The sequence below is a fragment of the Homo sapiens genome, chromosome 16 (assembly GCF_000001405.40).
Source record: "Homo sapiens chromosome 16, GRCh38.p14 Primary Assembly".
Classification (NCBI taxonomy): Eukaryota; Metazoa; Chordata; class Mammalia; order Primates; family Hominidae; genus Homo; species Homo sapiens.
In genome coordinates this window covers 17,885,104-17,901,128 of record NC_000016.10, presented here as the reverse complement: position 1 = coordinate 17,901,128, position 16,025 = coordinate 17,885,104, and the positions used below count along the sequence as shown (strand labels likewise).

The 16,025-nt window shown below is 41.6% G+C and overlaps 1 long non-coding RNA gene across 1 annotated transcript in view; it reads left to right on the top strand.

Annotated features, from left to right (window-relative positions):
* LOC107984893 (uncharacterized) overlaps positions 1 to 16,025 on the top strand; it is a 111,412-nt gene that overhangs the window by 71,373 nt on the left and 24,014 nt on the right. The gene's annotated exons all lie outside the window — the stretch shown is intronic.

Sequence of the window (16,025 nt, the reverse complement as noted above, 5' to 3'; positions counted from 1 at the left end):
TCCCTTATCGTCACTTCTTTTGGTAGGCTTACATCCTTCTCTCTCATTCTGTAAACCATCTATCTCAACTTTGATATCTATGAAATACGATATGGCTGTCTCACAATTTTAGGTATTATTGTTACCATTCCAGCAACTCTTAGAGATTTACTTATAGCTACAGTCCCAATTTTAAATATCTGAGAGAGACACCTACTTGGTCTAGTTTGCTGTCTACTCATTATCAGTCACCCTGAAGGATAGAGATGGGAGTGGAGTCTCACAGTATAAGTATCATTCCTGGAGACCTCATCATACATAAAGGTGGCGTGTGGGGGGTGGTGCTGGTCCAAGAGAAGGAAGCAACAGTGCGTTGGCTGGCAGGCACCTCCCTCAACACAAGGTGTCCATTCAATGGGATTTTTAGTGGCAACATTTTTTAAATGATTGACTTATTGTGTATAGTTCTGTGAATTTTAATAGATATATAGATTTGTGTAACCACTACCACAGTTAAGATACAGAGTAGCTTCTCCTCCCCCAAAAATTCTCTTATGCTATCCCTTTGTAATCACATCCCATTCCTCAATTCCCAGCAACCACTGATTTGTTCTTTATCTTCATAATTACAATGAAGGCTTTCTTGAGTGATTCCTGGGTCCCCTGTTTCTGGGTAGAGGTTCTTGGCCAAGATGAGGCTGAAAATTTTCTTACAGTTTCAGCCTTGGTGTATATCAACACACTCCTTCATGTGTTCCCCTAATATCAATTCATGAAAATTCATGAAATACAGTCATGACTTAACTATCCCCACCTTTGACATGCTTGAAATGTAGGAAAGGCAGTGTTCCTGGTTATTTAAGTGTTTAGAAATTCATTCATTCAGTCAATATTTATTGCATTGTGAGCCTATTATGTGCTTGATAATGTTCAAGGTGGGGGGAAACAGTATCACAAATGAGATCCGTGTCCTGGAAGCTTACATTATAGAGGATTCACAGTCTAACTTGGAAAAAATATATAACAAACATCAAGTCATGTATGTCACACAGAAACTAAAGTTTCCATGTTACTGAATGGTCTCCTATGGGTTTCCTCTTGGGTCATCTTCCCCAGGGCCTCAACTCTTTTTTTTTTTTTTTTTTTTTTTGAGATGGAGTTTCGCTCTTGTTGCCTAGGCTGGAGTTCAGTGGTGCCATCTCGGCTCACCACAACCTCCGCCTATTGGGTTCAAGGGATTCTCCTGCCTCAGTCTCCTGAGTAGCTGGGATTACAGACATGTGCCACCATGCCCGCCTAATTTTGTATTTTTAGTAGAGACAGGGTTTCTCCATGTTGGTCACGATGGTCTCGAACTCCTGACCTCAGGTGATCTGCCTGCCTCAGCCTCCCAAAGTGCTATGATTACAGGTGTGAGCCACTGCTCCCGGCCTCAGTTCTTGGTATTGTGTTTATTCCTTCCAAAATTCAAGGTGGGTACTCAACATTTCACTCAGATCCCTGGCTTATGGTAAAGAAAAACTGTCCCAAATCTGGTTTGATACAGAAGTTTTTTCATGCTGTAATTCATAACCTCCTACTAGGAAGGAAATTAAGATTTGTGATAAAATGCTTAAGCAGTTTTATATCAAACTTTAATGAGATTATGACCTCTTCTGGGAAACTACCTACCCAGCTACTTAGCTGACTGTCAGTCAAGGGTCTAATGATCTTCTTAACCAGGCATTCTTTTTACATGTATTCAGTCTAACAGTGATTATCTCATTCTTCTCTTTTTCCAGAAAATGTCCCTTCCAAGGTCAGCAAAGTCTCTTGCCTTTGCCACAAATTTGAAATACATTGTTGATTCATGCTCATAATTAAATTATCTGATAGGATAGTTAAATTTTTTTTGAAATCTGCTCATTCTCAGAGCCTTTTATCAAAAAGAAAAGAGATGAGATACAGACTATAGTTATGCGAATTGTTACCATTGGGAAAAAGTGGTGAAGGATATATGGGATTTCTCTGTATTTCTTACAACTGCATGTGAATCTACAATTAACTCAAAAAATTTTAAAAAAGAAAAGAAATTCCATCTTTGCTTTGTTCTTCTGCATCCATTTTCTCTGTACTTCCATGGCATTTTTCTTAGCTGCCCAGAGAGACTCTTCCACTTTTCATTAGGGCCCTTATTCCTGTCGGTCCTCCTCCTTCCTATCTATCTCTGCCATATTCTCTTACATATTGTAACTATGTTATATACTCGTCTCTATGCTTGTATTATCCCATTATTAAGCTTTGGGGCCATAAAAGATCAAAGTTGTGCTTTGTGCCTTTTTATCTCTTGATATGGTTTGGTTGTGTCCCCACTCAAATCCCATCTTGAATTGTAGTTCCCATAATTCCCATGTGTCACAGGAGGGACCAGTGGAAGGTAACTGAATCATGGGGAGGGGCTTTTCCAGTGCTGTTCTCGTGATAGTGAATAAGTCTCATGAGATCTGATGGTTTTATAAAGGGCAGTTCCCCTGCACATGCTCTCTTGCCTGCCACTATATAAGATGTGCCTTTGTTCCTCCTCCACTTTCCACCGTGATTGTGAGGCCTCCCCAGCCATGTGGAACTGTGAGTTCATTAAACCTCTTTCCTTTATAAATTACCCAGTCTTGGATATGTCTTTATTAGCAAAATGAGAGCAGACTAAAACATCTTTTCAAAACAGGGGGGATGTGGGGATGGTTAATGGGTATCAAAAAAAGAATAAGATCTAATATTTGATAGGACAACAGAGTAACTACAATAGTAATTTAATTGTACATTTAAAAACAAAGAACTTGGCCGAGCGCAGTGGCTCATGCCTGTAATCCCAGCACTTTGGGAGGCTAAGGTAGGCAGATCACAAGGTCAAGAGATTGAGACCATCCTGACCAGCATGGTGAAGCCCCGTCTCTACAAAAAATACAAAAAAAAAAAAAATTGCTGGGTGTGGTGGCATGCGCCTGTAGTCCCAGCTATTCAGGAGGCTGAGGCAGAAGAATCGCTCGAACCCGGGAGGCAGAGGTTGCAGTAAGCCGAGATCGCGCCACTGTAGTCCAGCCTGGGTGACACAGTGAGACTCCACCTCATTAAAAATAAAAATATAGAACCTAATTGGATTGTTTGTAACACAAATGATAAATGCTTGAGGATGTGATTATTACACATTGTATGCTTGTATCAAAATATCCCCTATACCCTATAAGTATATACACCTACTATGTACCCCCAAAATTAAACCCAAAAAGGAGGTGTTCATGAAATAATAGTTGAATTGAATTAAACTTTTAAATACCAAACACCTGTGATATCTGTACCTCTAAGCTAACATCTAAGGAAGGGGAATCAGGTGGGCCTGGAGCATCCCCTGGTTGCTTTTTGATGAGGAGAGTGGATTAGTGCTTCTCAGTCTTGACCATATATTCAATTCCCTTGGTGGCTTTTAAGAAATACCAATTTCAGCCGGGCCTGGTGTCTCACACCTGTAATCCCAGCACTTTGGGAGACCGAGGCAGGTGGATCATGAGGTCAAGAGATCGAGACCATCCTGGCCAACCTGGTGAAACCCTGTCTCTACTAAAAATACAAAAATTAGTTGGGTGTGGTGGCGGGTGCCTGTAGTCCCAGCTACTCGGGAGGCTGAGGCAGGAGAATCGCTTGAATGTGGGAGGTGGAGGTTGCAGTAAGCTGAGATCATGCCGCTGCATTCTAGCTTGGCAACAGAGCGAGACACGGTCTCAAAAAAAAAAGAAATACCAGTGTCAAGGCCCCACCCCTAGCAGTTCTAATTTAATCCATTGAAGGTGGGGCACAGGCATTAGTATTTTTGTAAATTATCTGGTTTTTATAAGTCTAGTTTGTGGGCAGGTTTGGGAACCACTGGTCTAGAACAATAATTTCCAAAATTGTTTTTCTTTTTCTTCCCTATACGCTTGAGTGAGAAAACACACTTCCAATCACTAAAGGTGACTGGCCACCGTAAGGCTTTTCATCCAGCAGTAGCGGGTGGGAGTAGCTAAGAAACAGGTGGGTAGTTTGAAAAAAAAACTCCCTAGGGATTCCAATATATCCTTCTAGGAAGGTACTCATTTACTTCCTGACCACGTCCCCTACTACTGTGAGCGTTTCTGAAACACTTATTTATTTATTCCACAAGTACTGACCTATCTCCTCTCTTTACAATGGGCACCACTGTATAAGGTTAGGAGCACAGACTCTGATGTCAGTGTATGGGTTCGAATCCTGTCTCTACCACTTAGTAGCAGAGTCAGCCTGTTACTGCAGTTCCCTATGCCTCAGTTTCCTCATTTGTAAACTGTAACAGTAATAAAATCCATCTTGTAGGATTCTTGTGAGAATTCAATGACAATTCATGGAAGGCTTTTAGACTATAATGGGCTTATCATAATTACGTAATATATGTCAACTGTTATCTTCCTTTCTCCTTTTTCTTTTTCCTCTTCTTCCTCTTCAGCATCTTTCTCCTTCTCCTCTTCATTATTATTATTATTCTAGGCATCATGCTAAGTGCTGTAGCATTGAGTCAGACAGACTGAACTCTTGCCCTCATGGAGTCCACTGGGGAAGCAGGTGTTAAATGAGTGACAGCACACAGCATCATTACATGTCAATATCCAATAATCTTTGTACCAAACAATGGCATGAAAAGTTTAATTCTCCAAGTGCCACCTTACACAACCCATTGTCATCCTTGCAGTGATTGTGAGAAAAACATCCTGCATGAGACAGTTGGTTTCCATGGAACTTGAAAGTTTGCAGGTTGGTAGCATTCCATTGTACTTCTCCAAAAGAGACTTTCAGACATTCAGCCTTTCCCAGTCTGGGCTGGGCCAGCTTGACCAGACACCCAGCTGAACTCCCTTCTGTAAATGCAAGCTGGAGGCCACACTGCTGTGTCTACTTTCTATCCTTAGCCCAGCACAGCATGCTGTACCATTAAACCACTGCGCTTCCTCCCCAGCAAAGTCCCTTGGAATGCTGGGGTGTGATCCGTTGGCACATAAATTGAAGTTGCTGTTCCTTTGTCATGAGGCGAAGGGTGGGAACATTTGGGATGCTGTGGAACCGACATCCAGCCTGTTTCATTCTTCGTAAGCGTGGCACAGTGTTAAATTTTTCAGAGAGCCGTGCCTCTGTGCAGTCAACTTGGATTTCTCTATCTGAATTGATTGAGAGTGTAGAATCACAGAAGGTGATTAACATAAATTTCAACTTCTATTTCTGCCTGTTGTTGCTTCATAAGTTGAATGGAAACTTGTTTTTTTTTAATACCCACTCAAACTGCTTGGTTTTGAATCCCAACTGTGCTATTTGCTGGGGTGGTCCTGGCTCTGCGAATCTCAATTTTCTTATCTGTAAAATGACCATAATGATGGTATCTATTGCAGCGGTTGTTTGTAGGACTAACTGAATTAATTAATATAAGTACTTTTTTTTTTTTTGAGATGGAGTCTTACTCTCTCTCCCAGGCTAGAGTGCAGTGTTATGATCTCGGCTCACTGCAACCTCCGTCTCCCAGGTTCAAGCAATTCTCCTGTCTCAGCCTCTCAAGTAGCTGGGATTACAGTTGCGTGCCACCACACCCAGCTAATTTTGTATTTTTTTTAGTAGAGATGGGCTTTCATCATGTTGGCCAGGCTGGTCTCGAACTCCTGACCTCGTGATCTGCCCACCTCAGCCTCCAAAGTGCTAGGATTACAGTTGTAAGCCACCACCCCTGGTCCAGAGTGACTTTTCAAAAATGCTAAACTACTGCCAGGCCACTCGCTTAGGGTCCCTCAGTGGCTCCCCATTGTTCTTAGGCCAGAGCCAAGTCCTGACCATGGCCCTGCATGCATGTCCCAGCACTGTGTTGTGCTCCAGGCAACAGTGCAGCATGTGCAAAGGCTTCTAACAACCTTTCCAGCACCTTCATTCGCTTCTCCTCTTCTCTCCTAGCTCCAACCACACCAGGTTACACTGTTGCTCCTGACTTAGAGCCTTGGCATATGCCATAGTCTTTGCCTGGAACACATTTTCATTCTCCACCCCATTTGTTAAGTGGTTCTCATCTGTTAGTGTTTAGCTTAAATGCTACTTCCTCAAGAAAACCTCTGATTGTCTGGATTAGAGTGAGTTCCCCTGACACTCACATGCAAAGTGCCCTGTAGTTATCCTTTGAAGCGTTTGTCATGATTGTAATTGAGTATCTAACTGTATAATGCTATGTTTGATCTCCTTCACCAGCACGGAAACCTTACAAAACCAGACACTATGTCTTTCTTATTCTTCACATGTTAATTTCCAGCCCCTTGTGCAGAGTAGGTGTTAGATAAATATTTGTTGAATGAATACATAAACTTCAGGGGCAGATTTAATTTTTCTCCCCTACAATAGGCTGTGATCTAATTGGTAAGTTGTATTCTCTTAAAGCAGGATTCCAAATGTACCCACTATTTAAGCAGGCTTACTTCCATTACCATATATATTTTGGGGGAAATCCCATTAAATCAGGCCATGCATCTTAGTCACTAAATGTGCTCATCATTACCCAGTTCTGAAAAACAGACTTGTGTGCAATGGCCATTCCAGCTGAATCCCTGCTTCAGGCAAGCGTCTCCAATACGATTATCTTGCTTTAATATGTACGCAAAATCTGCCTCTAACAAATTGCTTTAATAATCACTATCTCCAGCAGAACAAACCTGTAAAGGAGGCATTGCATTTTTCCTTGGCTAGAGACATAAAATAGATAAATGCCATGATTGGAAGAGGTAGAAATTGGGTGACACTGGCTGTTCTTTCTTTTCAGAATTTGCCTTGGTTGAATCCTTTTCTCTTTTTAGGTGACAAAACTCATTTCTTTTGTATCCCATTTCTTGGAACACCTGATAGTAGCCTTGGCCTCCAAAATACATAGGCACAATGAGCTCATTTATCTTCCCTTCTAACTCTCCCCCTCACCATTGTTGCAGTCACACTTCGGTGCTCTGACTGCCAAGAGCAGATTCATCAATGACTGTAAGTAGGGGTGCTAATATCCACATCATTCACTCCATTGTGATGGTTGAAAAATGCCATTAGCTTGGGAGGCATCATTCTGGGTGGATGCTCAGTGGAACCAACTCATGATTCTTTGTCATTTCTGGTCAAATTTCAGAAGAGAGGCTTCGAGTGGACCTGGTGGGATAAAAACAGACAGATCTGGAAAGACCAGGAGTAGATAATGCCAGCTTTGTTCAGCCTCAGTCACATCTAGAAAGTTTGCTTGTCTTGGCCACTTGAGTCTTGAAAATGAACTGGGAATGTGCCTTCTTAGAGGGAGGCAGGGATATCTGATATTTACTCTTCTTATTGAGGATTAAACAGTCACAAAAATAACATATTTAAGGAACACTTATTAGACATCATGAGCTAAGTGCATTTTACATCATTATCACATGCAGTTCTCAAATCGGTCCCATGAGGTAGGCTTTATTATCAACTGCATTTTACAGAAAAGGAGTCTAAGGCTCAGACTGGTTCAGGACCTTTTCCATGGACACATTCTAGTGAGTGGGAGTGGCAAATTTTTGGTCCATATATGAGGAGCTTTAAATCCACGCTGGTAAGCACTGTTTCTTGCCTTTACTTAGGAAAGGATTATAAAGATGCCAACTAATAAATCAATCTCGTCTATTCAGGGAAGGACGATGTTTTGACTTCCACAATCCCCTTTCTCTAAAGAAAGCTACAGCTGGGAGATAAAAGAACCTCCTTCCCTAGAGTAATATCCTGTTTTCTATCAGCTAAAAGAATGGAGCCAGAGGGATGGTATCCAGAGCTAAAAACCTCTTCAGTTCCTCGTGAACTGCAGAACTTGTTAAATCACAAGCTGAGGGTAGCTTTCTCTCTCTGGAATTCAAGGTTGGGTTCATGAGCTATAGAAACGAATAAAAGTCAACAGCCTCTCTCGTGGAACTGATTATTGGAAGGTTTTTTTTTTTTTCTTGCTTAACACTGTTGGATATAATGCAAAACTCTAAAAGTTTATCTCGGTAAATATAAGCTGGCTCTTTCCATCTAAGGGGATTCATTTAAAAAATACTATAGAGCTGAGTCTGCATGGTCCTAGACCCTCTGATGGCAAAGTCACCATTAGCAAAAACTGCTGGAAAAAAAAGGAAGCCTGGACTGTGTTTTATGTTAAATTAGCCATCAGAGGGACTGTACTTGAAATTCAAGCCAAGTGCATTACCAAATGTAGAGCTAAATAATTCAAATATGTACACCCTTAATGAAAATCAGTTTTCTTGACTTGGGCTTCCTTCATAGAATGGAAACAGAGAACATAATTTTTTTAAAGTATTTGCTATCCTTTAATCACTAGACAATTCACTTAAGCATAAAGCCTTTAGGAGTTGCAAAGGGAAAATACTGGTCTCTTATGAGTAGCAATGCCTCGCACATGGTCTGAAATAACATCAATGTGGGTGATAGATAACTGCCTAATGCATAAAGAGAGTTTATTGGTTCACACACTGAACTAGTCAAGGGCTAGACTGAGTTCCCAGTGTAATGTGATTCTGGGCTGAAGTGAAGAATCAGACCCAATCTCTCTCCATCTCTCTTCTCTGTTTTTCTCTGTGTTGGCTCTAATAAGTCTGCCAGAAAAGACAACTATATGATCTTGTGGTATGCTTTTCAAAGTCCTGAGATTGCAACCCATTGGTCCTAATTGTACCATGTGCCCAGACCTGAACTAATAGTAGCCAGATAGACATGATGGCTAGGCTTATATCACATGCCCATTCCTGGAGCTATATTCTCTGAAGACTATGGACAGAGTGAGAAGGAGAGCGTGTATTCCTGGAAAAAAATAAAATACTATTTCCAGAAGAGAGGAAATGAATACTGGGTGGTAAAAATGAATAAAACATCAACAAAAGCAAAAAAGTCCATTTGAACAGGGTAAGAGAGGGCTATGCTTACAAATAATGGGATGTTTGGATCTGAAGAGACCATCCAGGAATTTTGGTCTCCACCCAGGAATGTCTCATGTATGTAGACAGGGAATCCTGAAGAATTCACGTATGAAAATCTATTAGAACTAATCAGTGAGTTCAGCAAGGTTGCAGGATATAAGAACAATATACAAAAACCGATTGTGTTTCCATATACTAGCAATGAACAATCCAAAAGGAAAGGAAGAAAACAATTCCATTTACAAAAGCATCAAAAATAATAAAAAAAACTCAGGGTTAAATTTAATAAGGGAAGTACAAAACGTATACAGTGAAAACTACAAACATCATTGAAATAAAAGAGACCTAAATAAATAGAAATATATCTCATGTTCAATGACTGGGAGACTTAAGATGACAATATTTCCTAACTGATCTACATGTTCTGAGCAATCCTAAAATCCCAGCAGAATTTGACAAACTCCTCCTAAAATTGATAGGAAAGTGCAAGGGACCCAGAATAGCCAAAAAATTCTTGAGGAAAAAAGACTTGGAAGATTCATGCTTCCTCCTTTTAAAATTTACTACAAAGCTACAGTAATCAAGGCAGTGTGGTATTGGCATAAGGATAGATATATAGATCCATGGAAGAAAACTGAGAGTCTAGAAATTAACCCTTACATTTTCTACAAGGGTACCAAGATAACTCAAAGAAAAAAAAAGAAGTCTTTTCAGCAAATGGTGCTGGGACAACTGGATATCCATATGCAAAAGAAAGAAGTTAGATTCCTCCCTAACAATATGTGCAAAAACTAACTCAAAATAAATTATAGACCTAAACCTAAGAGTTAAATTACAAAACTCTTAGAAGAAAATATGGGAATAAATCTTCAGGGCCTTGGATAAGGCAATAGTTTTTTAGATATGACAGCAAAAGTATGAACAACAACAAAAATCCAGATGAATTTGACTTAATTAAAATTAAAAATGTATACGTTTCAAAGTTAAACTATCAAGAAAGTTAAAAGACAGCTCACAAGATGGAAAAATATATTTGCAAGTAATATACCTGATAAGGGATTTGTGTCTGGAATTAAAAACTCCTATAACTCAACAGTAAAAGACAAATAACCCAGTTGAAAATGGGAAAATAATTTGAATAGACATTTCTCCAAAGAAGATACACAAATGGCCAGTAAGCACATGAAAAGATGCTCAATATCTTAAGTCATTGGGGAAATGCAATTCAAAATCACAATAAGATACCACTTCATACCTGCCAGGATGGCTATAATAAACAAGACAGTGTTGGAAAATGATAATGTGGGAAAGGATGTGGGAAACTTAGAACCCTCATACGTTGCTGGTGAGAACATAAAATGATGCAGATATTGTAAAAACCACTTTGGCAGTTCCTTAAAAGTTAAATATAGAGTTGCCATATAACCCAGAAATTCCACTCATAGATATATACCCACAAAAATTGAAAACATATGTCCATGTAAAAACTTGTACATGAATGTTCACGGCACATTACCCATGTTAGCAAAAAAAAGTGGAAGCAACTCGAGTGTTTATCCATTGATGAATAAATAAACAAAATGTGGTGTATCCATACACTGGAATATTACTTAGCCCTAAAAAGGATTTAAGTACTGATTCATGCTACAGCTTATATGGACCTTGAAAGCATTATGCTAAGTAAAAGAAGCCAGACACAAAAAAAGAAGCAGCCAGACACAGATATTTCATATAAATGGAATCATGTGAAATACTCAGAATATGAACTCTGTAGAGACAAAAAACAGATTAGTGCTTGCCAGAAGTGGGGTTAGGGGAATGGGAAGTAACTGCTAATGGACACAGGGTTTCTTCGAGGGGTGATGACAACATTCTGGAATTAGATATTGGGGATGATGACATAATTCTGTGACTATAGTAAAAACCATTGAATTGCATACTTTAAAAGAGTGAGAGCCAGGCGCTGTGGCTCATGCCTGTAATCCCAGCACTTTGAGAGGCCAAGGCGGGTGGATTACCTGAGATCAGGAGTTCGAGACCAGTCTAGCCAACATGGTGAAACTCCATCTCTACTAAAAATACAAAACTTAGTTGGGCATAGTGGCAGGTGCCTGTAGTCCCAGTTACGAGTGGGAGGCTGAGGCTGGAGAATTGCTTGAACCCAGGAGTCAGAGGTTGCAGTGAGCCAAGATCGTGCCGTTGCACTCCAGGCTGGGGAAGAGGGGCAAAACTCTGTCTCAAACAAAACAAAAAAAATCCACAATTGTTTAATATGTGAATTAAAGTTTAGTAAAGCTGTTATAAAAAAAGGCATATTTAGAGGAGAATCTGATTAGTTCAGTGCTGATTAAAACAATAAATTAAAACAAGATGCACAGACAGAGCTTGGAGTCAAATCCTGTCTTCGTTTCTGAGGCTCAATTATGTCATCTGCAAAATGGGAGGAGGGAGGGTAAATATCAACACCCACAGAGTATTTGTGATGATTAAATGAGATAATGTATATATAGTTCCCAGAACATAACAAGTGACTCAAAAATTGAATCTAACAATAAGGCAAGGCAGGATTCATAACTTTGATAAAGAAAGGTTTACCGATTTCAGAAACGTGATTTGGGGAGACACTGAGTGTTTTGGGTGATAGGTGGCTCCTGGCCTTGAGTACGTTACAGTGGACAGAGCCGAGGGAGCAGCAGCTTCCTCCTGCTGATCCCCAGCCCCTGTTTCTCTGGGCTTGTGTGCAGTCAAAGCTATAATAGGATCAACAGGAAGGAAGGACAAATTCCTTGAGCGTTGTAGGGGAATCTGGTCACTGGTTATAGGGCTGAGTCCAAGAAGTGAATCCACAGCCACGGGTCTGTCTTCCTGCCCTTTCTTCTCAGGGGTCTCTCTCACTTCACAGCAAAGATGGCTTCCTTGCACAGCTCATTGGGGGAAAATCAGAGGCTTCACATCCCCTGGATCCTATGCACCACTCAGCCCAGACACAGCTTAGACCTGGAACTGTGGGCTCTGCAGAGATGAGGAAGTTCAGGCAAGTGCAAGGTCAGAAAAGGCAAAGGAGAAGAAAGGCCATCTAGTCTGGATGGTTCCACCCCCAAGCCCATATCTGTACACCGATATTGACTTGACATTTACTATCATTCTCTTACTGATTAATTTAATGGTAACTTTTAGGGGAAGGCATGGTGTAGAAAGAGAGATACTATTAAATATGAGCAATTTTATTTTACTCATCAAAAATAGCTTTAGTTTGTCTTTAAAACTGAATTGTTTTCTTTTCTTTCTTTTTTTCTTTTCTTTTTTTTTTTTTTTTTGAGACAGGGTCTTGCTCTGTAGCCCTGGCTGGAGTGCAGTGGTGCCATCATAGCTCACTGCAGCCTGGAACTCTGGAGCTCAAGTAATCCTCCTGCTTCAGCCTTCTGAGTAGCTAGGAGTACAGGTGCATGCCACAACACTCGGCTATTTTGAAAATTTTTGTAGAGGCAGGGTCTTGCTCTGTTGCCCAGGCTGGTCTCAAATTCCTGGCCTTGGCCGGGTGTGGTGGCTCACACCTGTAATCCCAGCACTTGGGAGGCCAAGGCGGGTGGATCACCTGAGGTCAGGAGTTCAAGACCAGCCTGACCAGCCTGGTGAAACCTCATCTCTACTAAATACAAAAAAAATTAGCCACGTGTGGTGGTGCATGCCTGTAATCCCAGCTACTTGGGAGGCTGAGGCAGGAGAATTGCTTGAACCTGGGAGGCGGAGGTTGCAGTGAGCCAAGATTGCACCACTGCACTCTAGCCTGGGTGAAAGAGTGAGACTCTGTCTCAAAAAAAAAAAAAAAAATTCCTGGCCTCAAGCAGTTCTCCTGCCTCAGCCTCCTAAAGTGCTGAGATTACAGGCATGAACCACACACCTGGCCTTGACTCTGTTGTTTTTTCTCTCTCTCTGTCTCTCTTAAAGTCACAATTCTGAGTCAAGGCTCTTCTGAATGGCGTTGGCCTGCAGAGGTTCCTGCAGAGTCATTTCGATGAGCTGCTCTTTATCATGACTCATGCTCCTTGACCTCTCTCATGTTCTTAGTATGGATAATATAATTTTGAGTCAAATGAAAGAATATTGGGTTTTCATCTGCAGTTTCTACTCAGTGAAACTCTCAATCCTTTAATTGAATTAGATGCCACAGAAGTTAAAGGGCTTCTCTGAAAAGTCACCGGAAGCCTCATGATGAATAGATGTGCAGCCCCGAACTAGTCCTTCATGGCCCGTGAATCAATTAACACCAATCTCTCCTGGCTTAAAAAATTTCATGATTTATTAGGCTGTGATATTTGGTGATGTTAGCACATGCTCTGCAAGTGACAAGGTAAAACTTACCTTCTTTGCATTTCTCTGTGGCTTCCCTTGTGGTCTTCTGACTTTTTTTTTTTGTTACTTAGGGTGTAAACATTCTTTTTACATATAGGAGATGCATCCTTTGTGTATCTAGTAGGAAGTACTTTCTTGATTGACAGAAGCCAAAGAGAGCAAATATTCCTTTTTTGCTACCTCCTGGCACCTGGAGGGTAGTTACATAATGTAGGCTTGGTCAATCGGAAGCTCATGCCTAGGACTTTGCATCTTGAGGATTTAGTCATGAAAGCATCAAGCATCTGGTGGCACTGGTGGTGTTGAGAGCCCAGCAGGCTCTGAGCGTCCCAAAGTGGCTTTGTCAGTGATCGCACCCTTGACAGAATATCCTGCAAAGTGGCCTTGGCCGGGCATTGCACGGCTAGACCTCTCTGGGTTTTGCTTATTTTCTAAGTCTAGGTTCACTGAAAAATCATTGCTATGAAGCAGATTGATAAATAGGAGAAAAGGCATACAAATATACTTAATGTGTGTATATAGGAGCCCTAAGAATGAAGACCCAAAGAGTCAAGGGAAATTGTCTATTTTCATGCTTATGTCCAACAATGTATGGACAGCCATGTAGAAATAGGATGGGACAAAAAGGGTCTGATCAAATGCTGACAGATGGAGTGGGGAAACCCAGCAAGGCCTGTCTGTCTAGATTCTTCATAGTCTCTCTGAGCATGTATTCCTTCCTCTGCATGCGGGGCAGGGTCCTCTCTGGAAGTGGGGCGGGGTGGGGGATCCTGTGACCCACAATCAAACAAGGTAGGTGAGGTAATTTGTTTATGACCAGTTTTTTTTTTTGGTGCAATCTCGGCTCACTGCACCCTCTGTCTCCCGGGTTCAAGCAATTCTCCTGCCTCAGCCTCCTGAGTAGTTGGGATTACAGGTGCACGCCACCATGCCTGGTTTTTTTTTTTTTTTTCTTTTTGTATTTTTAGTACAGATGGGATTTCACCATGTTGGCCAGGCTGGTCTCCAACTCCTGACCTCATGTGTTCCACCCGTCTTGACCTCCCAAGTGCTGGGATTACAGGCGTGAGCCAGTGCACCCAGCATGGCCAGTTTTTACATAGAATATTTTTAGGTTTTAAGGTTGGCTTTGGGGAAAAGGGATTCTAGTTTCTTTGACCCATCCTTGGGGAAGAGGGATTCTGGTTTCTATGGCTAGCCTTGGGGGAGAATGAGACAGACAGACAGGAGGGCAGGAGAATGTCAGAGAAAACACAGGCTGCTTCTGAGGCCTTCATGTTGGGGTAATGTTTTTCTGAGCCCCAGTAATGATTGCCTGCTTTGCTGTTAATATGCATGAGCTTCTCATGATCTTTTGCTACCTAAGTAGGCCAGAGTTGATTTCTATTTGCTTTAAGAGTGTGTGAGATTTGTCTTAATCAGGTATGGAAGGAAACACAGACGTGGAAGTTTTTACTGACAGTTCTCTAGAAACAGGAGGCACTCCATGCCACACAGGACTTTAAGGGGGAGCCCCAGGGGTGGGTAGGATGTAGAGGGAGAGAAGGAAGGACATGGGCAAGAGACTTGACTGTGGTTTCTGCTGGAAGAAATGAGTTAGACAGGATAAGCTGCTTTAGGATTGGCTAGTTGGCATAATTTCAGCAAACCCTGGGGTGTAGGGGCTGTCTCTAGTTGTATGGTACCAGCCCTGGGGTAATATGGGCAGATGGACAGTGGCCCAGAGAGAGTGAGAGTCCCGTTAAGGAGACAGCTGGGGATATGAGCTCGGGTTGGTTGGTTGGTTGGTTTGCATATGAAAAGCATGCTCGCAGGTGAGTCATTTACTATTTCTAAGCATTGGCTCGCCCTGAAAGGGCCTATCCTTCTGAGGTCAGCAAGGCCCTAAGATGTCCAAGCGTTAAATACAGAAACCAGAAAATGTGGTTATTACACTATTGTTTACATCTGAGAACGCTGACTGTACAATTTTGATTTTAAAGAGTTCTGGGCTGGGTGCAGTCACTCACGCCTGTAATCCCAGCACTTTGGGAGGCCAAGGTGGAGGGATCACTTGAGGCCAGAAGTTTGAGATCAGCCTGGGAAACACAGCAAGAACCTGTCTGGTTAACAGGTTAAATCTGGTTAACTCTTTTTTAAGACTTACCCATGGGTATAAGTGGTAACAGCCTGATTCACCCATTCTAAAGTTCTTCTTTAGCTTTTCGCCTAATTATTTTAGCTACTATTGATGACCATTTCCTGGAGCCATTTTTTTATGGGTACAAAGTTGTGATAGTATAACTCTATCATTTGATTAGTAGCTGAGATTTTTCTAAAAGAAGAACTCTGCACTATCAACTCTTTGATTACCTCAAAGTAGAGTTAATATAGGAAAATCAGGTTAAACTTTTTTTTTTTTTTTTTTGAGACGGAGTCTCACTCTGTCACCCAGGCTGGAGTGCAGTGGCACCATCTCAGCTCACTGCAAGCTCCGCCTCCCAGGTTCATGCCATTCTCCTGCTTCAGCCTCCCAGCAGCTGGGATTACAGGTACCCGCCACCACGCCCGGCTATTTTTTGTATTTTTAGTAGAGACAGGGTTTCACCGTGTTAGCCAGGATGGTCTCAATCTCCTGACCTCATGATCCACCCACCTTGGCCTCCCAAAGTGCTGGGATTATAGGCGTGAGCCACTGCATCTGGCCTTTTCTTTGTATTTTTAGTAGAGACA